The sequence below is a fragment of the Homo sapiens genome, chromosome 5, assembly GCF_000001405.40.
Source record: "Homo sapiens chromosome 5, GRCh38.p14 Primary Assembly".
NCBI classification, from domain to species: domain Eukaryota; kingdom Metazoa; phylum Chordata; class Mammalia; order Primates; family Hominidae; genus Homo; species Homo sapiens.
In genome coordinates this window covers 6,681,082-6,708,035 of record NC_000005.10, presented here as the reverse complement: position 1 = coordinate 6,708,035, position 26,954 = coordinate 6,681,082, and the positions used below count along the sequence as shown (strand labels likewise).

Below are 26,954 nucleotides of genomic sequence, written 5' to 3'. Positions count from 1 at the left end.
CCAGTGTCTGCCACCTGCAATCTCTTCTGAATTCAGTCCATACGAGTCTGTTTCTGAGAGCCTGCAAAGACCCTGTTTCCAAACAAGGTCTTGTTCTGAGATTCTGGGTGAACGTGAATTTTGGGAGGACACTTTTTGGCCTGCTACAGAGGCTTGAATGTTCTGACGAAATCTAGTTTTTGACCTTGAATAGAGTAGCCCCACCAAGAGAATACAACCCACAAGAAATGCCTCTTCTTTCCAACCACTCTAGAGCAGGATTGTCAACCAGAGCTGACTGTGTCTCCCAGGGCACATGTGGCCACGTCTGGAGACGCTTTGGATTGTCACGACTAGGGGTAGTTGCTGGGCCCCAGCGTCAAGCACATACAGGTGACAAATTCCGTCTCTGAGTGAGGGCCCAAAGAAGCTCTCAGCTCAATAAACGGAGATGTGTGTGATGTACACACATGTGCAGGGTACTAGTGGGAGACAGGGCAAGGGAACCTAGAGGTGTTGCTGGACTGATCCTAGAAGATGCAGAGTATTAGCCTAACAGAGGAAGGACATTCCAGGATGAGAAATGTCTGGAGACACAGCCCTGAGGACAGAAATTCCCCAGGGCTCTCAGTGGCCAGGGGCCAAGCATGGCAGCAGAAATCCAATGTGAGGCTGTTGGCCAAAGCCAGGCACAGGAAGGGTGTGCCATGGTCAGCACTTTTGGGGGTACCATTAAAAGATGTACCCCAAAGAGGGGTATGGTCTAACATGCGTTTTAAGAAAAGTTCACTTTGTCTTAACAGATGGAATTATGAGAGGCCAAGATTGAAGATGGAGGTAAAGGTTGGGGGGATGGCCTTTTGAGAGAAATAGAAAATCAGTAATGGGCACAGTATTAGGTATGCAAAGGATTATTTAGGAGAAAATAAATTAGGGTCAGTTATTGTAGTTGCTATAAGAAGCGATCTCAAATCAGAGTGGCATCACATGTTAAGAGTTTATTTCTTATTCACTTCCCAGTCCACTGTGGGCCTGCATGGGGCCTGGGGTATGGGGAAGGAGAACTCTGCTCCACACAGTCATTCAGGAATCCTGGCTCTTTCAGGCAGAAGTTCTGCCATTCCCTTGGGCCCTGGAGTTTTCAGCTAGTTCTCTGCAGAGGGCCAGCAAAGGGGTGAGGGGAAGAAATAGGATGGAGCATCCTGCAGGAGGTTTAGGGTCCAGGTCTGGGGGGTGGCCAGCACATCACTCACATGCATATTTTGGTGGCCAGAACTCAGACATGTGGCCCCATCTAACTTGAGGGAGGCTGGACTATATAGTCCAGCTGAGAGCCCAGAACAAAAAGGAACTGGGTCTGGCAAACACAGCACACTGACTTTGCCACAACATGTTTCGGAGGTAAAATCTTTGGGGGCTCAGTAATTGATTCAACGTGGAAGAAGGAGAGAGGAAAGTTCAGAGAGCTTCCAGGTTTCCACCAGGGAGGTCGGAACAGGTTGCCTTAGATGGTGACCGCAGGAGCCACTGCCTGAGCAAGGAAGATGGTGCATTCATTTTAAAATCGCTGTGTAGCTTAACATTCACTGCCCGTATTAACATGTGTCCTGCATTCCATTTATTGGAGAAATGTTTCTTTTTCTTTATTTTTTAAATGAATATAATTTACAATGTAAAAGGTCAAATAAAATGAAAGTGAAACAGAAAAATCCTCACTTTTCAATATTCCTTTCTCATCTAATGAAGACCCCTTCCCTTCTCTATTTCTCCCGGCTCCCTGCCTTAGGCCTAAAGCAACAACCAGAAGCCTTCCTGGGTGTTTACATTACAGCACACCAGACTGCAGGCACCGCCACCCCAGACTCTGCCTGCAGCTAAAGTCACCAAGTTTGCCGTGCCCCATAACTGAGGTCATTGGCAGCCCAGCACCAAGCCTCACTGGCATCAAGGGCAGCGGGTTAGTAAGCATGGCTCCACACGGGTAAGCAGTTCTAGGAAATGGGAAGAAACCCAGACCATCCATCTCAGGGTAAGTTTGCTGGATTTTCTCTCTCTTTTAAGAGTCTTTCAACAGGGCATACAGCCCATTCTCAAATTTAGATTTCTGTTTTTGTTAAGAACAGGGACTGTGGAACGAATTTGCCTGACTTTGCCATCATTCTGCCATTTCCTAGCTATGTGGCCTCAGGCAAACTGATTAAACTTACTGGCCTCAGAATGGGGAAAATTTCTGTAACTCATGCCTGGAATTACGTGAAGATGAAAAGCAGGCATGTCCATGAGATGCTTACAAGAGGGACCAGCGCCGTGTACCTATTCTGTGCATCCTACCCGTCCACTGTTCCTTCTCCGTGTTTCTTGAAGAAGCTGGAGTTTTCTTTCAGTCTTCTGCTTCTCCTGTTGCTTCCTCTAACTGAAGGAAGAATCAGTCCATGGCTTCTGCTCCATGCTTTCTGCTCTTGGTTCAGGCTCCAACTTTCCCATTAATGGAAGAGAATGGCTCTCCTGCTCCCAGCTGTAATGAACTAATTAATTTTTCTATCTCTCTAATCATTCTCTATTCCCTGCCAAACCCTCTGGGTGTCTGTTTTGTTCTATTGTTCAAGCCTGGACTTTGAGGGTAGGCTGGGGGCATTGCTAGTCCCCACAATTGCTAATCCAGGCACTTGAGTCATTATCTTCTATACATCACACTTAACAACCAGAGGGAAGTGCAACCTCGTGGGCCTCGGAAAGGAAACCACCCACAGACTTGTGCGCCTTCTTCGCAGGCCAGGCTCTCCTTCCCCCATGGTAAGAAGGTGAAGACTTGGAGATTGGTGAGTCAGGCAATCAAGGTCAAATTGACATACTCTAGAAGATTACATGCCGTGTGGAACAGTACTGGGCAGTGGACCCACTGGGACAGGGGCTCAGGAGGCTATGGCAGTCCCGCAGGAGATTCTGGAGGTAAGGGGTTGAATGGGGAGCAGCGTTGATTTGGATGCAGCATGGATTTTGAAGTAGAGCCAGCCATGGGGAGCTAGTGGGGAGGGAGGCAAAGAGTGAACAAAGCATCCGTTCGGGTCGGTGGCCTCAGCCATGGATGAAAGTCTTATTTCCTGAGATGGGGGACACTGGGTGGAGCAGGAAGCATCCCTCTTTAGGAAATGCTAGGTTGGAGATGTCCCTCGTACATCCCCAGGAGACAGTTGGACACAGAGGCTTGCATTTAGAAGAGAAGCCAGTCTGGAAAGGGCCGTCACGGAGCAAGCCCTGCCTGGCTGGCATGTAGCAGAGCTGCATGGGGTGAGCTCACCCGGGCGGGGACGGGTGTGGAAAGCGCAGAGAAGCAGGGTAAGAGCAGCCTGAGGGTGTGGGGGGAGGTGGATGGAGACGTGGGCTTGTCATTTGTCTTTGAGAATTCGCTGCATGGCATTTTAAACCTCTTTAAATTTCTGAGTAGGTTTGAGGTGTGTGTTGTAAGTTTTCAAGGCCCTATTCAATAAAATATCTGGGTAATTACTACACTCAGGAAACTGGCGCAAGTCCACTGAGGCCTAAAAATAGCAAGTTTACAGACCTGTGGATTCTTTTCTCATGACAGTGAGGCCTCACAGGCCCTGCCAGGCAGCCCGGGAGGTGCAGGCCCCCCTTAGAGACACAGACAGAGGCTGGACACAGAGCCTGGCTGGCCGAGACCTTTCCAGTGAATTCTGTGCCACCAGAAGGACAGGCATAGGCGATGGCTGGTGCCCTCACGAGGTCACCAGTGGGCTGTTTGTTGAGAAAAATGCTGCTTGTAATTTTACTTTCCTTCTGAATTTTAGCCGTTTTCTTCTGAATTTTAGCCATTACACGGATGATGGCTAAAATCACAAAGGGCACAGAAGCACAAAGGCCAGGGGCAAGGGTGGGGAGAAGCATGGGACAGCCACATTCTAAACATGGTGGTGGCATCCTTGAAAACGAGTGAATGACCGAGGCAATCCATTTCCGAGGTTTTAATCACATACATAATCATTGGTTGTGAAAAAGTGTTTCAACACCAGCGAAGACATGACCACAAAACCAATGTTTAGGGAAAAACACAGAAGACATTATTCACAGCTGTTGTCTATTCATTTACTTCTTTGAATTGGAAGAGTGGTTTTAGCTGTGAAATGCCTCCATGCAGCTGGGAAAACGTGGTCTCTTCCATAGGAGTATTTGAGGACCTCAACCCTGGGTCCGGACTCTGGTTTACAATTGTAGTTCAAGATGTTGGTATTGGAAGGAGGGGCCAGGAGAACAAATCCTCCTACACAAAGAGGCTTGCAGGAGATGTGTTACTGCCAGGGGGCTGTCCACAGTGTACTTACTTCTCCTTGAAGACACCTTGAGAAAGGACAGCGCATACTGGTAGTGATCTTGGCAACCTGTCTTAGGCCAGGCACAGAGGCTGAGATGGGGGGTCACTTTTTTCTTTTTTTATTTTTTTTGTTTGTTTGTTTGTTTTGAGACAGAGTCGCACTCTGTCACCCAGGCTGGAGTGCAGTGGCGCAATCTCAGCTCACTGCAACCCTGCCTCCCGGGTTCAAGTGATTTTCCTGCCTCAGCCTCCTGAGTAGCTGGGATTACAGGTGCATACCACCACTCCTGACTAATTTTTTTTGTATTTTTAGTAGAGACGGGGTTTCACCATGCTGGCCAGGCTGGTCTCAAAACTCCTGACCCCAGGTAATCTGCCCACCTCAGCCTCCCAAAGTGCTGGGATTACAGGCGTGAGCCACTGCGCCCGGCCTCTTCTTTCTTTTTTTTTTTTTTTTTTTTAATAGAGATGGGGTCTTCCTATGTTTCCCAGGAGTTGGAGACCAGCCTGGACAACATAGGAAGACCCCGTCTCTATTAAAAAAAGAAAAAAAAAATTGTCAGGTGTGATGGTGCACGCCTATGATCCCAGGCTCAGGAGGCTGCAGTGGGAGAATCATTTGGGCCCAGGAGGTCAAGGCTGCGGTGAGTTATGATGGCGCCACTGCACTCCAGCCTGGGCAACAGAATAAGGCCCTGTCTGGAAAAAGAGAGGGGACGGGGAGGGGAGGAAGGAGGGGGGGAAGGGGAAGGGGAGTGAGAGGGGAAGGGGAGAGGGAGGGAGGAGGAGGGGAAGGAAAGGAAAGGAAAGGAAAAAGGAAAGGAAAAAGAAAAGGAAAGGGGCAGCCTGCCTAGCATTGCGGAAGATCCCATGCGCCTCTCTGGAAGCTGGGAAGTAATCATCATGTGTCAAAGAGCATGCTGGCCCAGGGCGTGCTTTGTTTGGCCCACTCCATGTTTTTTTAATGTTTAAATGTTAATCTCTTTATTAGTTAGCTCTTGCTCATTTATGCTGCAGTAACAGACATCCCCAGGACCTCAGCGTTTCATAGGAACGACATGGCACACATTGGTGGTGGCTGTCCTCCCAGGCAGTACCCCACATCTTGTCTTCCGTGTTTGGGCACCCAGGCTGGAGTAGCAACCCATCTCAGTCAATGGCAAAGGAAGGTGAGACATGGCGAAACTACACATTTGCCCTCAAGATTCTGCTGGGTATAGCAATGTCATGCCAAATTCCATACCATTGGCCAACGCAATGCCAGGGAGCCCTGCAAGCCACGTGGTGAGGGTGGGATGTGTGAGCCTCTGACTAAGAGGACAGACAGAACACTTGAGAATAAATGGGAGGCTCTATTTTTCTTCTTTTTTTGATGTCTTGATGCAGCAGGAATGGGAGGTTCTAATACCATCTCACTCATCCTTGGACCAAGGACACCTCTCCCATGCACTATGCCCCATGCCTCTCTCTCACTATGGCCCAGTCCACGCATGGAGGTCCCAGTTGGTGCTCAGGTTCGTAGCGCCTACACGAATAAATGCAGTGCTGTTTACCGCCTCAGTCTGGCTAGCTTTAAACACAGCCACTAATAAGGTGATTGCTTTTTATCATAAAAATGCTGAAAGAGCATTGGATATTGTGACTTCAGGATGTCCAGAATCAAGAGGAAAAAAAACATTTCAACACTGTCAAAAATTTTGCCCTGTCTTTGTGGCCAGCTCCCTCTTGGTTCTTCAACACACATCTCCTTGTGCGTTGAATATTCAGTTATTCAATGACTCTACCTGTGGTTCTTCCCGTGTGGTGGGTGCAGGGTGCATGGCCAGCGATGGATGGCAGGAACCCAGACCCGTGGCGCTTCCTGTCACGGGCCCAGAATCAGGACTGACGGTCAGACTCCCTCACGGCCCCAGCGTTACTCCTGTACCTGAAAGCAGGCACAAAGGCAAGATTTTCAGGGCAAGTGTTCAATATTCTGTGTAAAAAAACGTCAGTGTTACTGACAGAGTGAGCAGCGGGTAGAATGTGAGTCACCTCGGAGGGAGGCTGCCTTTGTGTTCTTCTCAATTGTTCTGTAATAAAAGAGTTTCTAGAGACTGGAAACAGCGGAAAAGATGCACCATTGACACAAATTGTCATGTGCATTGCACAAACAGTTTCTCATTCAGGGGCATTTTCCACAGCCTCTACCTTACCGTCAGTGGCCCAGCCCCCGCCTGGACACCTCCATTGGGTTCCTTTTGTCATGATTCCACTCTCTACTCCTCTAGGTTCTAGTGTTGTCACCACCTTGCTGGCACTCTTACCCCGGCCACCCCAAACCCCTTCAGACCCTCGGCTGCAGCCTGCTTCCACGCTGCAGAGCCTGAGCACTGCCCTCTCTGTCTGGGAAAGCTGTCCGTGAGCCGCTCAAGCCCCCCGCCCCCAACTTTCCGTCAACCCTGGAATCTGGCTCAGCTGTCCTCGAGGAGGCCCTCTCTTGTGTCTCTGGTCCTTTGACACATGGTCAGTTCATTGCAGGTTTACTCACTTATGTCCCTGTGTTAGCTGCCTGTACCTGGGGACAGTGACGATGCCAACTCTGTCCACTCTTGTATGGAAAAGCTCAGCAAAGGGCCTGGCAGACAGCTGTGTCCAATGCATAGTTGTTGACTGAATAAAAACAAAGCCGCTGACCCTCCCTAATCCTAGACCCTCATCTTCATACCAGCCTGATTTTTAGCCACTCACCCACTTGCTGAAGCCTGGAAGCTACCAGAGCTGGTTTGCCCATAGCCCCTGTGCAAGCCTCGGGCTACCTTGTCTCTGACCTGTGCCTCAGGGTGCAGTGTTTCCTGGACACTCCCCTAACATCACCTTTGCCTCTCCCGGCGCAGTGCCAGCCTTCCAGACCCAGATCCAACCAAGACCTCTGTAAAGCTTTCCTGGCCGCATCAACCTTAAAGTAATGAACGTAGGAGAGAGAAATTTGTAACAATTGTGAAAATTACTGTGGTGATTGTGAAAATGAATAATAGGGCTTTTCTTATTGCCTTGAATTACGTTAGCTCTTCCACTTTTTAATTTTCACCCTTTTGCTCAGCATCCCCGGTGGACTAGAGGCTTTGTCCCAGCAGAAGCGTTGCCACCCCCCCGGAATCTGAGCCCTTCACTGGACCCAGCTCCGTGGCCTGCAGACAGGAAGCCCCCAGTGAACACATGCTGGCGTGGTGTGAATTCACCCCCCTGCCTCTCCACTCCTTTGTGCTTCCCAGGAGGGGCAATGCAACAGGCATTGCAACAGGCATCCCCAGCATCACAGGGCAGAAATGCTCCACAAAAGTCTCAAACTAAACTGAGAGAGACATTATTCACTTCCAAGTGCTTCAAACAGCAAAAGAGTAAGGCGGAGGACAAGAAAAGTATTGACGACTGGTAAATATTTAAGGAGTAACCGAGTCAATGCCAAGCATGCTGAGCTCTGAGCCAAACCACATTCAGGAAGAGATCAACGTAGAGCACAAAAGACTTAGGTTTTCACATTTGCTTGAAAATGTAAGCAGTTACTAAGTAAAAATTAAAAGATGATTGGCTAGGTGTGGTGGCTCATTCCAGCACTTTGAGAGGCCGAAGCGGGAGGATCACTTGAGGCCAGGAAGTTGAGACAGCCTGGGCAATATAGCAAAACCCTGTCTCTACAAAACATTTTTAAAAATTAGCCAGGCACGGTAGTGTGCACCTGTAATCCCAGCTACTGGGGAGGATGGCCTGAGCCTGGGAGATGAAGGCTGCAGTGAGCTGCGTTTGCACCACTGCACTCCAGCCTGGGTGACAGAGTGAGACCTTATCTCAAAAGGAAAAAAAAAAAATTGAAAAGGGTTGCTTTATTAGGAAAGTCATATTCATGGCCCTAAAACCTTCAAAGAAATTGTCACGTATGGTACAAGAAGATATATTCAATTTGCTTTGTCTTCCTCTTCAGGTCAATCACATAATCTTTGTAAAATTCACTTCCATTCCTTTTGAATGGGACTTGTGCTTCTCAACTGGAATGATACTTTTCATCATAAAGTTAGAGAGGGATCTTGGCTAACTTTTTTTTCCAGAGAAGCGGACTCTTTTCAGGACAAAGCACTCAGCATATTTTAGAGACACAGATCATAGCATGTGTTTGCCAGAAGGCACACAGCTATTGGAGGGAGATGGGAGAAATTTCACCTCTTTCTTTTACACTAATTCCTAAGGAGGAGTTTGTGAAGATTGGAGTGTCATAAGAAATACATGCATAAATGCTGTAATTATATTATTAGTTAAAGGCTTAACTAGTAAGACAGATGAATCCATTTCAAGTCTAAACAATAAAATGACAAACCATAAAGGTGGTTCTCAAATTACTTCATGGGGGAGATAGAAAGCTGTGTTCTGAAAGTATTGTATTTGCAAAATGCCTGAAGCAAACAAAACATGCTGCTGAGGGAATTCATTTCCAGAATTCAAATTTTTGAAACAGCTATGAACAGTTATTGCCAACACTAGCACATTATTTATATCCTGCTAGCTTAGAAGTTTTTAAAAACTAGATAAGTTTAATTTCAAATTGTAACTTCTTAGGACTGAAAGTCTCCTGATGTCTAAAATGTGACCTATAATTTCATGGGAGAAAAAAATGATATTTATGGTAAATGTAAAGCCCATTACTGGATAAATCTTCTAAATATGTAAGTTTTTTATGCAAGAAAGATGTGAAGACAAAAAAATTTCCAACTAGTGGATCATGAGACATAAAGCAGTGGTTCAGTGGGTTAGTATAATATTTTAGGAATAATGACCAACCACTGTGAAGGGGAAAAATATTCATAGAGTACTTTTTCTGACTGTGAGTCATGCTTAGAATTTCCTTACCCAATCAAATACATATATTCACCATCTGCCTTTACATTTCACATTTAAAGCGTTAATTCAGGCTAGGTGCAGTGGCTCATGCCTGTAATCTCAGCACTTTGGGAGGCTGAGGCAGGAGGATCACTTGAGTCCAGGAGTTCAAGACCAGCCTGGGCAACATAGCGAGACTGCGTCTTTACAAAATAAAAATTAAAAAATTAGCCAGATGTGGTGGCATGCACTTGTAGTTCCAGCTGTTCCAGAGGCTGAAGTGGGAGATTGCTTGAGGAGTTTGAGACTGCAGTGAACTATGATCACACTGCTGTACTCCAGCCTGGGCAATAGAGCGAGACCTTGTCTCTAGAGGAAAAAAAGCAAAACAAAACTTTAATGCATTTTGAATTTATTTTGTGTAAGACATAAGATAGGAAATTTATTTTTTTCTAAATGATAATGCATTCCAATATACTATTTCTCCAGTTATTGAGATTATGATATCATAAATTCTTACAGAAACTTGAGTACATTTCTAAAGTTTCTATTGAGTTCCAGTGATTGGTCTATTTATTTGTTGACGAAAAAAATATTGTTTTGCTTATTAGACTGTAAATTGATGTTTACTATCTAGTAAGAGGATACTTCTCCTCCAAAATTAAATGTTATTTTACTGAAAAAATCTTGTATATTCAAGCAAATGTATTGTTCTAGATAAATCAGGACAATTTTGGTAAGTTCAAGAACAAAACCCCAACGGAGTTCTATAAATTTAAATGTATTATATTACATTTTTAGATTCTATAAATGGAATTTATCAACTTGTGCTAAATACATAGAAGAATTAATACAGGAAGTCCTAGCCAGAGCAATCAGGCAAAAGAAAGAAACAAAAAGACATTCCGATTGGAAAAGAGGAAATCAAAACTATCTGTTTGTTGGTGATATAATTATATACCTAGAAAACCCTAAAGACTCCTAGATCTCATAAATAAACTCAGTAAACTCTCAGGTTATAAAATCAGTGTAGGGAAATCCATAGCAATGCTATACAACAACAATGACCAAGCTGAGAATGAAATTAAGAACTCAATTCCTTTTACAATAACCACAAAAAAGCTAGGAATATACTTAACCACAAAGGTGAAATATGTCTACAAGGAGAACTACAAAATACTGCTAAAAGAAATAATAGATGGTACAAATAAATAGAAGTACATCGCATGCTTATAGATTAGAAAAATCAATATTGTGAAAATGGCCATACCGCCCAAAGCAATCTACAGATTCCATGCAATTCCTATTAATATACCAACATCATTTTTCATAGAATTAGAAAAACAATCCTAAAATTCACATGAAACTAAAAAAGAGCCTGAATATCCAAAACAATGCTAAATGAAAAGAGCAAATTTGGAGGCGTCATATTACCTGAGTTCAAATTATACAACAAGGGCTGTAGTAACCAAAACAGCATGTTATTGGTATAAAAGTAGATACATAGACCCATGGAACAGAATAAAGAACCATAAATAAAGCCAGATACTTACAATCAATTGATCTTTGACAAAGCACACAAAAACATAAACCGGTGAAAGGACACCCTATTCAATAAATGATGCCGGGAAAATCGGATAGCCACATGTAGAAGAATGAAGCTGGATCTCTGTCTCTCACCATATACAAAAATTAACTCTAAAAGGATTGAAGACTTAAATCTAAGACCTGAAACCATAAAAAAATTCTAGAAGAAAACCTAGAAAAAATTCTTCTGGACATTGGCCTGGGCAAAGAATTTAAGACTAAGATCCCAAAAGCAAATGCAACAAAAACAAAAATAAATAAATGGGATGTAATTAAACTAAAAAGCTTCTCCACAACAAAAGAAATAACAAAGCAAACAGACAACCTACACAATGGGAGAAAATATTTGCAACGTATGGCTCTGACAAAGAACTAATATCCAGAATCTACAAGAACTCAAACAAATCAGCAAGAAAAAATATAATCTTATTAAGAAGTGAACAAGTGCCATGAGTAGACAATTCTCAAAAGAAGACATTCATGCAGCCAACAAATATATGAAAAAATGCTCAACATCACTAATCATCAGGGAAATACAAATTCAAACTAGAGTGAGATACCACCTTACCCCAACCAGAATGGCCATTATTAAAAAGTCAAAAAACAATAGATGTTGGAATGGATGTGATGAAAAGTGAACATTCATACATTGCTAGTGGGGATGTAAATTAACACATTCTCTATGGAAAACAGTTTGGAGATTTCTCAAAGAACTAAAAGTAAATCTACCATTCAACCCAGCAATCCCTCTATTGTGTATCTACCCGAAGGAAAAGAAGTCATTAAATCAAAAAGACAACTGGACATGTATGTTTATCAAAGCACAATTCACAATTGCAAAGATGTGGAATCAACCTAAGTGCCCATCATACAATGAATGGATATAGAAAATATATGTATATATACACCATATATATACACGATATATATATCATATATATAACCATATATATCATATATATAACCATATATATATATCTCATGAAATACTACTTAGCTGTAAAAAAATGAAATAATGTCTTTTTCAACAACTTGGATTGAACTACAGGCCATTATCCAATGTGAAGTAACTCAGGAATGGAATGGAAAACCAAATATCACATGTTCTCACTTATAAGTGGAAGCTGAGCTATGGGTATGCAAAGGCATACAGAGTGGTATAGTGGATGTTGAAGACTCAGAAGTGGGGAGGGTGGGTAAGCGTGAGGGATAGAAAACTACCTATAAGGTACAACATACACTACTTGGGTGATGGGTACAATAAAATCTCAGACTTCACCACTATACAATTCATCCATGTAACCCCAAACCACTTGGATTCTTAAAGCTGTTGAAATTAAAAATTTAAAGTTAAAACACAAAATAAATTCAAAAAATAAATAGACATAGGTTTGATATCTATAATATGTAAATAGCTTTAATAAATTAAAAGATTATAAACAATCCATTAGAAAGGAAATATGTAAATAAATCATGCATATCCATACTATGAAATCCTATGTAGGAGTTAAAAATGAGATATAACTATACTACCGTAAAAAGAACTCCTAAATGTGTTCTTGAATGGAAAGCAACCTGGGGAATAGCATATTCAGTATGATTCTATTTTTATGAAAGCTATATGTTTGTGTTTAGATGTAAATGTACAACTAAAAGTATGTGAAGTTGCCGATGAGCGTGAGCATGAGAGAGGCTTCAAATCATATTTTATTACGTAAATTTTGTGGTTCTATAATTCAAAAAAAAGAATACACGTCTCCAATCCAGAAGAATGCTGTCTTATTCAAAAATTTTATGTCTTGAAGTAAAGCGTTAATTACTTTGCAGTGACTCTGCGCATTTTTTAAGTTTATTGCTAGTATTTACATATTTTTAAATGAAAATATGTAGTTTTTTTAGCTTTTCAAGTTATTGCTGCTATGTTGGAAAAATATTGATTTCTGTGTCTTGGATTGCTAACCAACCATCCAATTAGAGTTTGTTATCAATTAAAGTAGTGTTAATCAATTGATTCCCTTGGATTTTTCAGATAGACAATCAAATCATCTGTAAAGACAGATAGTATCATTTCCTACTTTGCAGTATGCAGCTTCATATTTTTCTTATCTTATTGCATTATCTAAAATCATTAGACAATGCAAATGCAAATCAATGATGAACCATATGAGTAATAGTAGGCATTTTCTGTTGTTCTTGATTTTAATGAAAATAATTATATTCTTTAATTATTAAATATTCTTTAGTTGCTGGTTCCAGTGGGTTACTATGTTATTAAGAAAATGATATTCTATCCCTAGTTCTAGAAGCTTTTTAAAATTCAGAAAGAAATACTCTCAAGTACCTTTTTTATATTTATCAAAATATCCTAGCCTTTCTCTCCTGACCTTTTTATTCATTCACGAATTATAGAGAGGGTTCATTTATGTTAAATCACATTCACATTCAAGCAATAAAATCTGTTTAGGCATGCTATATTATTACTAGACTATACTGCTAGACAATATACAGTAATATTAAAAGTTTCACTTCTGTGATACTCCTGTAGTTTAAATCATGGCATTTGTTTTTAAAGGTATCATCATGATTATTTGTAAGAATTATCTGGCCATCCCAACATTGAAGACAGATTTTTGATAAATTTTAAATTTTCAAGAGCCCTTTCTGGTGTTCTAGTTCTTAAAAAATCCATTTGAATTATTTGCACCTTTACAACAAAATGTCTATTTCATCAGCGATTTCAAGTTTATATAGCAGCTGGCATGTTACCTTAGGGAAAATAAAATGATACAAATATTTGATTAATGTAAAAGAAGTCATGAAAGGATGAAAAAGGAACACAAAGCAGGTGAATCAAACAGAAAGAAAATAGTAACATGGTAGATATAAACATAACTATATCAGTAATTATGTTAAACATAAATGGTCTAAATGCTCCAAGAAAAAGATTTAAGATCGTCAGTTGAGGCTATTAAAACCAGCTATATGCTGCTTCCAAGAGATAATAATTTAAATATCAGGACACAAAAAGATTGAATGTAAAATGATGAGAAAAGGTAAGCCAGGAAAACCAAACCAAAGCTAGTATAAATGTACATATATATATATATATATATATATATATATATATTTTTTTTTTTTTTTTTTTTTTTTTTTTGAGACAAGTTCTCACTGTGTCATCCAGGCTGGAGTGCAGTGGTGCAATCTCAGGTCACTACAACCTCTGCCTCCCAGGCTCATGCAATCCTCCACCCTCAGCCTCTCAAGTAGCTGGACCACAGGCATGCACCACTACACTCCACTAATTTTTTGTATTTTTCGTAGAAAAGGGGTTTTGCCATGTTGTCCATCCTGGTGTAGAACTCCTGGAATCAAGTGATCTACCCACCTTGGCCTCCCAAAGTGCTGGGATTACAGGCATAGAAAGCTAGTATATTTATACTAATATCAGACAGAGTTGACTTTAAGGCAAGAAGTGTTACTAAAGATAAACATTTGAAAATGATAATGGGGTCAGTTCACTAGGAAGATATCATAAATTTTAATCTGCATCAATCTAATAACAGAACTTCAAAATATATGTAGAGCAAAACTAACAAAATATGAAGAACAAGTGAATAAATTCACAACCATAATGGTAGATTTTAACACATTTATTTCAAAGCAGATAATTTGAATAACACAATTAGCAAGGTTGGCCTAATTATCATTTATAGAATACTGCACTCTAAATCCATAGTATACACATTCTTTTTAATTGCATGTGAAACATTTACCAGAATTGATTATAGCTGGTCAGTAAATCAAGCTCCCAAAATTTCAAAAAATTTAAATAATGAAGATAATTTTCTCAGAAAGTTAGCTTGGGAAAAAAGAAACTGGAAAATCCCTACTAGTTTGAAAATTAAGCTATACAGTTCTAATAACCTATGGGTGAAAGAAGATATCAGAAAGAATATTAGAGAATATTTGGAACTGAGTGATAAAGACAATATGACATATGAAAACCTGGCAAAGATTTTAAGCCATTGATAAGGTTTGGTTGTGTCCCCACCCAAATCTCCTCTTGAGTTGTAGTTCCCACAATCCTCATGTGTTGTGGGAAGCACCTAGTGAGAGGTAATTGAATCATGGGGGTGGTTTCCCCCGTACTGTTCTCATGATAGTGAGGGAGTCTCATGAGATCTGATGGTTTTATAAGCTTCTGGTATTTCCCCTGCTGGTACTCATTTCTCTCTCCTGCTGCCCTATGAAGAGGGGCTTTCTGCCATGATTGTAAGTTTCCTGAGGCCTCCCCAGCCATGCAGAACTGTGAGTCAATTAAACTTTTTTTCTTTATAAATTACTCAGTCTCAAATATTTCTTCATAGCAGTGTGAGAATGGACTAAAACAGCCATTCTTAAAATAAAAATGCACAACCTGAAATTCATATATTACAATGAAAAAAAAAATGACCAAAAGTCAATCTTAGTTTTTATCATAACCTCAAGAAACTGGAAAAAGAATAACAAATTTTTAAAAATAGAAGAGGCTGGGCGTGATGGCACATGCCTGTAATCTCAGCACTTTGGGAGTCCAAGGCGGGCGAATCACAAGGTTAGGAGTTGGAGACCAGCCTGGCCAACATGGTGAAACCCCGTCTCTACTAAAAATACAAAAAAAATTACTTAGGCATGGTGGTGGGCGCCTGTAATCCCAGCTGCTCGGGAGGCTGAGGCACGAGAATTGCTTGAAACTGGGGGGCGGAGATTGCAGTGAGCCCAGATCAAGCCACTGCACTCCAGCCCAGGCGACAGTGCAAGACTCTGTCTCAAAAAATATAAAATAAATAAATAAAAATAGAAGAAAGAATGCAATAAAAAACAAGGGCAGCAATCAATGAAATAGAAGGCAAATGTACAATACAGATAATCAATAAAGCAAAAAATGCTCATTCTTTGAAAATGAATACACACATACAATAAAATTGATCAAGAAAAAGAAAAAAGGAAGACTATATATAACCAACATCAGGAATAGAGAAAGGGAAATTACTGTACATCCTACAGCCATCAATCTTACACAAACTCTTTCAGAGAATGAAGAAGAAGAGGCAGCTTCCAAGTCACATTTGAAGCCAGTGTAACCTTGAACCAAAATCTGTCAAGTATGTTACAAGAAAGGAAAATTATGGGCCAATCTCTTTTAGGACTATCGATGCAAAAATCCTAAATAAAATATAAGCTAAATCTAGCGATATATAAAAATGATGATACATCAGGTCTAATGTGAATTTATGACAATATAAGGTGGGTTTAATATTTGAAAGTCAATCTATGTAATTTCTACATTAACATAAAAAGGAGAAAAATATATGATCATCTATGTAGATACAGAAAAGTTTTAAAAATAAGATTTAACACCTATTTGTGATTAAAAAGAAAACACAAAAAACTAATGGAAATCAGAAATAGCATGGTACGTCTGTAATTTAATTTAAAAATTAGCAAAAAAACCAAAGTAAACCTGTTAATGATAAAATATGAAAACTTTTTCTCATGAAATTGGAAATGAGACACAGATATCAATTATCACACTTCTATTCACCCTTGTATTGGAGGTCCTATCCAGTGGGATAAGCCAAGAAAAATGAATAAATAAAGGCAAAAGAATTATAAAGAAATAAATAAAACTCATTATTTGCTGATAACATAATTGTGTACATAGATAATCCAAAGAAGTCTACACAGTATTCAAATCAATAAGCAAATTTAGCAAGGGTACAGAATACAAAGTCAGTACACAAAACAATCAATTGTATTTCTGCATACTAACAATAAATAAGTAGAAAATGGATTTTTAAAAATATATTATTTACAATATCATAAAATAAAATACCTACAAATAGATTATGAAAAGATGTATAGGACTTTTACACTGAAAACTGCAAAACTCTTTAGAGAAATTAAATAATATTTACATAAATGGAGGAATATGTCATCTCCATGGATTGGAAAACCCAATATTGCAATCTGTTGCCCAGGCTGGAGTTCAGTGACATGATCTCGGGTCACTGCAACCTCTGCCTCCTGAGTTCAAGTGATTCTCCTGCCTCAGCCTCCTGAGTACCTGGGATTACAGGCGCCACAATTCCCTCAAATTGATCTATGGGTTAAATGCAGTCCTAAGTAAAATTCCCACATTATTATTGTGGAAATTAGCAAGCTGATTCTAAAATGCATATAGAAATGCAAAATGCTAAGATTAGCCAAGAGAATCGTGAATTAAAAGAACAAAATTGTAGACCTCTGTCCCTTCAACTTCCAGCCTGTTAGTATCAGTTTTTTGTAGGCATGACTCATAAATGGCACTTGCCTGTGTGTGTGTGTGTGTGTGTGTGTGTGTGTGTGTGTGTGGTGTTTCTTTGTTTGTTTGCTTTTGTAGAGATGGGTCTTGCCATGTTACCCAGACCAGTCTCAAACTCCTGGACTCAAGCAATCCTCCTGCCTCAGCCTCCCAAAATGCTGGGATTACAGGCATGAGCCACTGCTCCCAGCCACTTGCTTGTGCTTTGTCTTAGGGAACTTTCTGAAAGTTTTCTTTCTTACATGGATATTTGTACCATCTATTTTTTAAAAATCTTATTGATACATTTTTGCTTGCTTCTATTATCTTGTTCTTTGGATTTATCTTCCACTTCCTTATTGTTTCAACCTTTGTCTTGTAATTAATTATTTTGCGTGTTGAGGAGGCACTTTATATTCTCTACTACTTTGAAGTTATACATCTTGGCTTTTAATTCTAGAAATGGTTATATTGGTGATTTTTAAATATAAGTGTCTTCCTTAATTTTCAGAGTTAACATTTAAATGCTTTTAAAAATTTACCACCTAGTGCCCCAATCCACCCAATTGCCCGTTGTATACCTGCACGCACACACACATACTCCACAATGATTTTAATTGTCTTCTCTTTGCCACTTCTCCACATGTTTAACAGAATCTGGCATCTCATATGCAGTTATTTAATTGCACTGTTATTTTATTTTACATTCCAAATCTTCTCTTTTGAGAATAATTTTGTTCTTTGTATTCTAACAGTCTTGTGCTCGCTCCCAGCCTTGTCTACAACTTTGTCTTTCTCAGTGCTGGCTTTTGCTTTGTCTCAGCCAGTAGGAGCACATTTTCATGTAACTCATTCTGCTGAAAACTTGAGTATTCAGTACACATTGGCAGAGTCTGTTATGGGTTGTTTTGGCTGCTTCCATTGACTAAAAATTAAAGTGAAATAAACTAAAAACATAAAATAATAGAATAAGTGTATTAAAAGAGTCAAAAAGTTTTAAAAATAAAAAAAAATAATTAGGGAAGAGTTTACCTTCTAGAGATCCAAAAATACTGTAAGAATGTTGTATTCCCAGGATCTTATATCTAGTAAATTATTATTATTGTCATCATGATTATATTGAGATGGAGTTTTTCTCTTATCGCCCAGGCTGGAGTGCAATGGCACAATCTCAGCTCACTGCAACCTCCACCTCCCAGGTTCAAGCGATTCTCCACCCTAGCCTCCTGAGTAGCTGGGATTACAGGCATGTGCCACCATGCCCAGCTAATTTGTATTTTTAGTAGAGATGGGGTTTCACCGTGTTGGACAGTCTGGTCTCGAACTCCTGACCTTAGGTGAGCCACCTGCCTCAGCCTACCAAGTCGTGAGCCACCGTGCCTGGCTTCATATATAGTAAATTAATAAGCACACAGAGAACACTAAAACAGACCCAGATAGCTGTGGATCCTAGTAGATGAAAAGAGGTAGTATTTCAAATACCTGAGGAAAATACAAATGATTGGCTTTTCTTTAAGAAAAAAAAAATAAAGTTGTATATCTATTTCCCAATGCACACCCAAATTTCAGATGTATTAAAGATTAGATATTTTAAAGTGAAACTACAAAGTTTAGATGTAATTATAAGAGGGTATTTATTAGGCAATCTTTTTCTGATAGACTTTTGGGTTTAAAAAAGCCTTTCCTACTTCTAAGACATAAAAACTGAGCACATTTTCTTGCTGAAAGGAAAAAGTTAAAAGACAAACACAAAGAGAGAAAATATTTGCAACTTATCCAACATATAAGCAATATATTTAATATATAAAGATCTATATCAAATCAATAAGAAAAAAATGAACATTTCCAGTAGAAAAAAGTGGGCAAAGGTTGATGTTATCTATTGTTGCTAAGATGTGGGTAGCATCTTGTGTGTGAAGTGCATTCGACAGTGTCTATGAAACCTAGACATCCTTCTACCGCTGAGGGTCTATCCTACAGAAACACAGCCATATGTGGCCAAAGCGACATGGATATGAGTATTCATTGATCATTTCTAGTAGTGGAAATGCAAAGATAATAAGTATGCATATGTTGATAATAGACTAAATACAATATGTTCACCCATACAAAGGATTACCATAAAACTTTTAAAAAAGATAATGTTATAGGAATTATTGATATCAATCTTTTTTTTTTACATGGAGTCTTGCTCCGTCGCCCAGGCTGGAGTGCAGTTGCGCGATCTTGGCTCACTGCAAGCACCGCCTCCCGGGTTCATGCCATTCTCCTGCCTCAGCCTCCTGATCAAGTTTTTAAAAATACATACTTTATATAATTTCATTTGGCCAAAAAAGTGAAGTACACACACACACACACACACACACACACACACACACACACACAGAGTATAGAGAACATTTGGTGTATTAATTTTCTATTGCTGCTGTAAAAAATTACCTCAAACTTAGTGACTTAAAACCACATAAATTTATTACATTATAGTTCTGGAGGTCAGAAGTCCAGAATGAGTTTCACTGGGCTAAAGTGAAGGTGTTGGTAGGGCTGCTTTCTTCTGAAGGTTCTAAAGAGAGGGTCCCTTTCCTTGCCTTTTTTAGCTTCCAGTGTGGCCTGTATTCCTTGGCTTGTGGCCTGTTCCTCCCTCTTCACAGCACATCACTTAGTCCTCTGCGTCCAGCATCACGTGGCCTTCTCCTCTCCAACCTGCCTGCCTCCCTCTTAAAGGACCCTTGAGACGACACCGGGTCCTCCTGGAAAATCCAAAGTAATCCCCAATCTCGAGGTCCTTAATTTAATCATAGCTGCAAAATTTCTTTTGCCATGTAAGGTCACAATCACAGGTGCCAGAGATTAGGACAATGACATATTTGGGGCTATTTTTCAGTTGACCACAGTTGGGAATAACTACATAAACAAACCAGCAGCTATCTCAGAGGTGAGAGATTTGAAGTCAGGAGAAGTATTTAAATCTCTCTCTCTCTCTCTCTCCCCCCTCCCCCAGCTAATAAAATGTTTTTTTCTAATAAAAAACATAAAACTCAAAAATATAGAAGAAATATAAAATGAATAATATAATAATGTGGTCTAGAGGCAGAGGTCTCTCAGATTTTCCAAACGTCAGTGCCAGGAGCTCTGAGCGTAATCCCTGAGATGTGGGAGAGCTGGAGGGACATCTCCTATTCATCTGAGCCTGCTGTGCGTGTGTGAGGGTGCGTGAGTGAATGTGTGTGTACACGTATGCATGAATATGTGCGTCGGGAGTATGAGAGTGTGCAGGTGGGTGTGACTGAGTGTGAGTGATATTGAGCATAGATATGAGTGTGTGTGAATGCTTGTGAATGTGTGAGTGCATGTGCGAATGTGTGCGGGTGGGTGTGTTTTTGTTTGTATTTTGGGTGTGGGGAGAAGGAGGAAATAGCTCCATTGAAGAAGCATCATATTTTTTAAAAAGCTTTAATGAAAGTGGTGAAGGGAAACCTGATTGGGTATTTAAGTGGTCCTAAAACCAAGGGCAGCTTTCTGCTAAGGCCTTTACATGCCAAGCTGCCAATCTTCAGAAACTCCCGCTGGAGCATCCACATTTCACAGGCAAGAGGAACGAGGTTCAGGGGGTTAAATACCCGTCCCAGCGTTTCAGATACAGGCGGTGTGAGCCTAAAGCCGGCCCCTCACAGCTGTGCAGCGCTGGCTCCGAGCTGGCTCTGCCCCGGGCGCTGTCCTAAAGGTTAGCTGCTCCGCTGTGCGAGCGTGCAGATGAATGCCATCAGTAGAAATGGGCATTTAAACGTTAACGGATGCACTTTCATCTTTTCTGTACATTTCAGTTGTTAGAGTGTGTGATCTATTTTTAAATGTATTCACATATAATGGTTATTCTCTTGAATCTGGTGTTTCTGAGCCTGTTTTACCGAAATGCTTTCTAGAACCTGGAATGCCGTTTTATTAGGAAGCGCATCCGGGTCGAAGAACCAGGGGCGCTGTCCATGGTGTTAAAACACCTCGCTCAAACCTCAGAAAGTTTTTCTGCTTTTCAGAGGGGCTGTGTGTGAGCAGCAGGGAACAACTTTCAGCTTATAATTCGGGACTTACAGGAAAGAAAAGAAAATGTCTACTCTCCTAAGAGAAATCTGATCATCTGCCGGCATAAATGTTGGTTGACCTTGACTCTTCTCTTTGGATGCCTGAAAACCTGAACAAGGCAGTTGGGGCCAGGACAGCCCAGAAAGGCAGGTTTGAGTGGGGGCCCCGGCCTTTACAGAAACATTCTAGTGTCCATGGTGATCCTACCGGAAAGCCAGTGTCAAGAACCACTGAGCCCCAGGACGCAGGTTTCCTTGCCTCTATCAAGATACAGGCCCCGCTACAGTACTGCTGAGAGCAAGAAATAGAAGCACCTGCAAGACAGTGCAGCCCTCACAAGCTAGACATTTGATGTCATGGGAAAACTTGCACCCAGGCAGTTGAGTGCACTTGTTCAGCAGACCTGTTGGGGATAATGGGAAGAGGGAGCATATCTGGCTGACCTTGAGGACAGAAAGGAACTCTCATCAAAATTACTTGACCAAGAGAACATTCCAGGTGCCCAACTCTGCCAAACATAATAGCAAATATGTACCAGGAAAGTAAGAAAAACTTATGGGTTAAAACTGTACCGAGTCCTCCCTTCATTTCCATCTAGCTTGACCCAGACCCCTTACAGTGGTCCCGCTGATCTGGTGTGGCTTCCTCTCCCACCCTCAACTTTGGAGCACTGTCAATGCCTCCAGAAGGCCAGGCTCCTCCTGCCTGGAGCACCAGGCTATTATTTCCTGTCTGGAAGCCCTGGAGGGATTGGCTCCTTCCCACCTTTCTCACCTGCCCTGCCTCACCTTTGCTATGATGTCACCTTCTTGGAGAGGCCTTCTTTGGCCCCCCGTCCCTCCCAGCACTGTGCCCCATGAGGTTCACACGTGCATGAATTGGATTCTAATTGCACATTTGTTTTTGTGGGTACTGGCTCATTGGCTTTCTCATCTAGGAGTTGCCCATCAATAGGGGCTTCCACTGCCTACCCAGCAAGTGGTTCCATAAATAACTGTAGCGTGGTGGTGAGGCAGTTAATTTCCTTCAGATATAAGGGCTCAGACAGTAAATGTACACTCAAAAATACTCCTGTTGGGTTAGTCAGTTTTCTGGTTCCTGAACACATCTTGACTGATTTTTCAAAGGCACACATGGCAGCCATCTGACCTGCTTCACACTTGCGATGGGAATTTCATCCCTTTAGGAAATGGGAAATGCCATTGTTACCTGTTTGAGTTTTAGTGACTTTCCTCTAACATGCTCAACTTTAAGCTGCTTTATCACACTACATATTAAATGTGTTTGTTTTGGAGAGGTTTTTATGGTACCCCAGGAGATAATTTCTGATGACCCCGTCAGAAACACAAGAATGGGGAGAAGGGTGAGCAGCCAGGGTTAGAAATTCATGTTTTTATAATCTATGCTATAGAAAAAGTCTTCAGGATCAGTACTTGTCTTTCCTGAGACTACTTGCAACAGTTCAAAACTGTCACAAATAGCCTTGAGACATGTGTGGTTTGATCTTTATTTATGGAGTTGTTGAAGGATTCTCAAAATTGCCCAAGGGTCACCTCCTCCCAGAAGCCTTCCCTGACTTTCCTGGAGTGTGGGAAGGTCATTCCTTCCTCCCCGAAAGCCAACCTCAGAGCTGCCAATGCCCTCCCTCCAGGCTAATGTATCTCCACAATCACCCCTCCACCCTCAGTCAAGGTTTTCCTGGCAGCCACCCCCTTCAGACTGTGGGCTCTGTTGGAGTAGAACCCACAGTTTCCTCATCCTCGCATCTCCAGGGCCCACAGCAGGAGTGGCATGCACAAAGATGGAGTGAATCCACCTTGAAAGGAGGGGCAGCACAGGCACAGGGGCCTGGAGACAGGAACATGAGCATCTGAACTGTCAGCTTCTAGCTTCTCTCCTATCCCACCCCAACACATGGCACAGGTGGAAACCCAAGAACCCGTGGGGTTCACCTGGCCCTGGGGGTTCACCTGGCCCTGGAGTCATGCTCTGAACACAGTGGAGCAGGCACCGGCTGTGCATCCCACACTGTCTGCTCTGCGGGAAGAAGCACATCTGCTTCCCCAGGACCACCTGCAACAGCCTCTGCACAGTGTCTATGTCTCTGCCTGCCCCAGAGGGTCTTTTTGAGATGGAGTCTTGCTCTGTCGCCCAGGCTGGAGTGCAGTGGCACAATCTCGGCTCACTGCAACCTCCGCCTCCCCGGTTCAAGTGATTCTCCTGCCTCAGCCTCCTGAGTAGCTGGTATTACAAGCGCGAGCCACCACGCCCGGCTAATTATTGTATTTTTAGTAGAGACGGCATTTCACCATGTTGGCCAGGCTGGCCTCAAACCAGGAGGGTCTTAAACCCTTTCTATGAATTACTCTCCATTGAAATTAGTAATTTTTTGTGTATGTCGTGATATTTTCCAGTTCCAAGTCTTCTGAAAAGGGTAGGACGCTAACTTGTAAAGGTTACTGTGATGGTAAATTTTAGGTGTCAACTTGGCTAGGACACAGTGCCTCTTTGTTTGGTCAAACACTAATGTAGGTGTTGCTGTGAAGGTATTCTGTAGATGTCAGTAAAGGAGATTACCCCGGATAATGTGGTGGGCCTCATCCAATCAGTTGAAGGTCACAGGAGCAAAAACTGAAGTTTCCCAGAGAAGAAATTCTGCCTCAGGATGGCAGCACCATCTCCCGCCTGGGTTTCTAGCCTGCTGGCCTGTAGATTCCAGACTTGCCAGCCCCCACAGCTCAGTGAGGTAATGCTTAAAATAAATATATTTATCTATCCATCTATCCATTCTATCGGTTCTATCTCTCTGGAAAACTCTGACTGATACATGTACATATTTAAAATATAATACAGGTATCAAAACACCTGCATTAGGAATAGATGAACACACCCATATAAAGTATAAGCTTTTTGATAGAGGTATCTGGTTGACTTTCTGTATCAATCAATTGAATGAAGTCAATTGGGAAATTTCTGTCATTTTTGTTTTTCTTATGTCTCAAGAATCTGAGATGAAATCAAATCACTAATGTGTAATTAATGTTACTTAGCTACATGTTATGATTTGATTATTTATAGAAACTTATTGATATACAACAGTATTAATATATCACATTTAACTTTACATTGTCTATGCATATGAAACATCTGATTACTACTTGTTTTACAGAATAGTGTCATTTTGCAGGGAAAATTAATATCCTGCTGTTGTTATTGTAGAGGGGATCTAATACCTGGGGATAAATCTCCTCTGTGAGAGTGAATCGAGGCAGAATCAAGAGAAGCAAGTGAGACCCGCTGTGAGTGGGTACCTCACATCCCACACATCTACCTCCACCTATGAGGAGCCACAGGACCTGCCTGCCTGCCTGGCCGCTCTCCGCAAGCGCACAGAGCCTTTCTGTGCTTAGGCCACACGTGCCCAGCATATGGTGCAAATAACCATTTATCGAGTGCACTGAACTGAGGCCTCAAGGCAAGCTTACCGCTGTGCAGGGTTAATGACAAACCCAAGGTGGGCAGCCTGGAGCTAGCCACAGTCCAAGCCAAAAGCTCCAGTGACATCTGCTCTGTGTCCAAAAGGTAGAAGGAAAGGAAAGAACACAGTGTACCAACTTATCTCAAATAAAATAATTACTTATTACCAACATCAAGTATGAAATGTGAAGCTATTCTGTGCCAGTTACAGAAAAGCTATATTACTATGTACATTACAGAATAAATTACTAAGTTTTGACTAGAGTATAAAATTTATTTGTCTTAATTTCTAGTAAGTTTTATTTGTTGAAATATAGACTCATAACATTCAAGACAGTGCTGGGTGTCGACTTCTGAACACAGCACACACTGGATAGTGTATGACACGCTGTGCAACACAACAGGGCAAAAAATTGGAAACCTGCTTTTCTGCAGTAACTTTTCATTTGCCCTAGACAAGGAACATTGCACGGCTTATTTTGACAATGATGCTCTTGTATTCATTGAATAAGTCATCTAATCTGTAAGAATCTACGTTTTATTCCCATGTGACTTAATAAAGCATTTTCATTATGAATAAAAATGTGAACTGCATAAACATTTGTATTTTATTTGAATTGGTTCTTAAGGGGGGGATAGGGTGTTGTTTTTCACTGCTTTATACAAATGTAAGGCATAGAATCATTCTCTTAAAAAATTAAAACAAAACATTTCATTAATTATTTACTTACTTGCCTAAAAATGTCTTTATGACCAACAAATGGAACAGCTTTTGCACTTCAAAGTAAAATCTTCACTTTCACAAATCACCAGCAGCGCAGCAGAGCCAGCCATGGGAGGCAGACGAGGCACGAGACTTCCCAGAGCCTGTCGATCCCCGTCACTTCTGTCTGTCCTGGAGTCTGAGCCCTAGCGTCACCCCTCTAGCCCCGACCCTCTAGCCCAATTCCTCTAGTCCCGCCCTTCTATCTCCACCTCTCTAGCCCCGCCCCTCTAGCCCCGCCCCTCTGGCCCCACCGCTCTAGCTCCACCTCTGTAGTCCCACTGCTCTAACCCCACACTTCTAGCCTCACTTGTCTAACCCCACCCCAAACCCACCCCTCTAGCTCCAGCCACTCTGGCCCCATCCTCTAGCCCACTCATCTAGCACCACTCCTCTAGCCCCATCCCTGTACCCCCACCCCTAACCTGACCCTTCTTGCCCTACTCCTCTAGCTGCACCCCTGTAGCTCCACTGCTTGGCCCCTGCTCCTCTGAGGCTGCCCTGCTCCTGTGAGGGATTTGAGCAACCCCTTGAATTTGGCTTCTAGGCTTTCAGTAGCTCCCACCCACTTGCTACTTGATTTTGGACTTTTCATGTTGAAAGTTAAACAAGCTTATTTCCCCACTGTGGTAGTAGCCAGCTTTTGTTGACTACACACACACACACCCCCCACACACACACACGATACACACTGCACATACACACACACCACGCACAGATACACACACACCCCACACAGATACACCACACAGACATACATACCACATACACACACATACACACACACACACACACACCACACACACATACCACATACACACCACACATACAGATGCACACACTGCACAGGTACACAGATACACAGCACATGTACACACATACATACACAAACCACACATATACACACACATATAGTGACACACAAACACATACACCACAGATATAGTCACACACCACCACACACACCAACTCTGTTATGGATGGAACTGTGTGCCCAAGTTCCTATATTGAAGCCCTGCACCCAGTGTAACTGTATTTACAGATGGAAGCATTAAGGAGGCCCTCAGGGTTAAACAAGGCCATGAAGGTGGGGCCCTCATCTAATAGGACTGGTGTCCTTCAGGAAGAGGAGAAGACACCAGACCCCACTCTTTCTCTGAGCACACAGAGGAAAGGCTATGGTGAGGATGCAGTGAGAAGGTGCCATACACAGGCCAGGAAGAGAGACCTCACCAGAAACCAACCCTGCTGGAACCTTGATCTTGGACCCCCAGCCTCCAGAACTGTGAGAAAATACATTTCAGTTGTGTCAGCTACCCAGTGTGTGATTTTGTTATTGCAGCCTGAGCTAATATAGTATCGAAAGTTCCTTCCTGATCATCGAATTCAACCTGCATAATTCCAGCCATATAGAGGGTTGGTATAACATTTTCCAGGATGTCAGAGTAATCAAGTTCCCCACAGCCTAGGTTATGGCAGAGTGAAAAAAGGTGAACACGACTCTGAGGCGGGACTGTGAAGGTGTATTGTTGGCCCTGCTGGGTAAGCGCAAACCCCTTTGCATA

The 26,954-nt window shown here is 41.8% G+C and overlaps 2 long non-coding RNA genes across 2 annotated transcripts; both read left to right on the top strand.

Moving 5' to 3' along the window:
• The first annotated feature begins 324 nt into the window (after positions 1-324).
• LINC02102 (long intergenic non-protein coding RNA 2102) lies at positions 325-21,711 on the top strand. The gene is made up of 3 exons (NR_103771.1): positions 325-2,928; positions 5,327-5,478; positions 21,104-21,711. It is a non-coding gene; the product is annotated as a long intergenic non-protein coding RNA 2102 (long non-coding RNA).
• Positions 21,712-23,582: 1,871 nt separating this feature from the next.
• On the top strand, positions 23,583-25,220 carry LOC124900934 (uncharacterized). Its single transcript, XR_007058680.1, has 2 exons — positions 23,583-23,895; positions 24,369-25,220. It is a non-coding gene; the product is annotated as an uncharacterized LOC124900934 (long non-coding RNA).
• Positions 25,221-26,954: the final 1,734 nt, after the last annotated feature.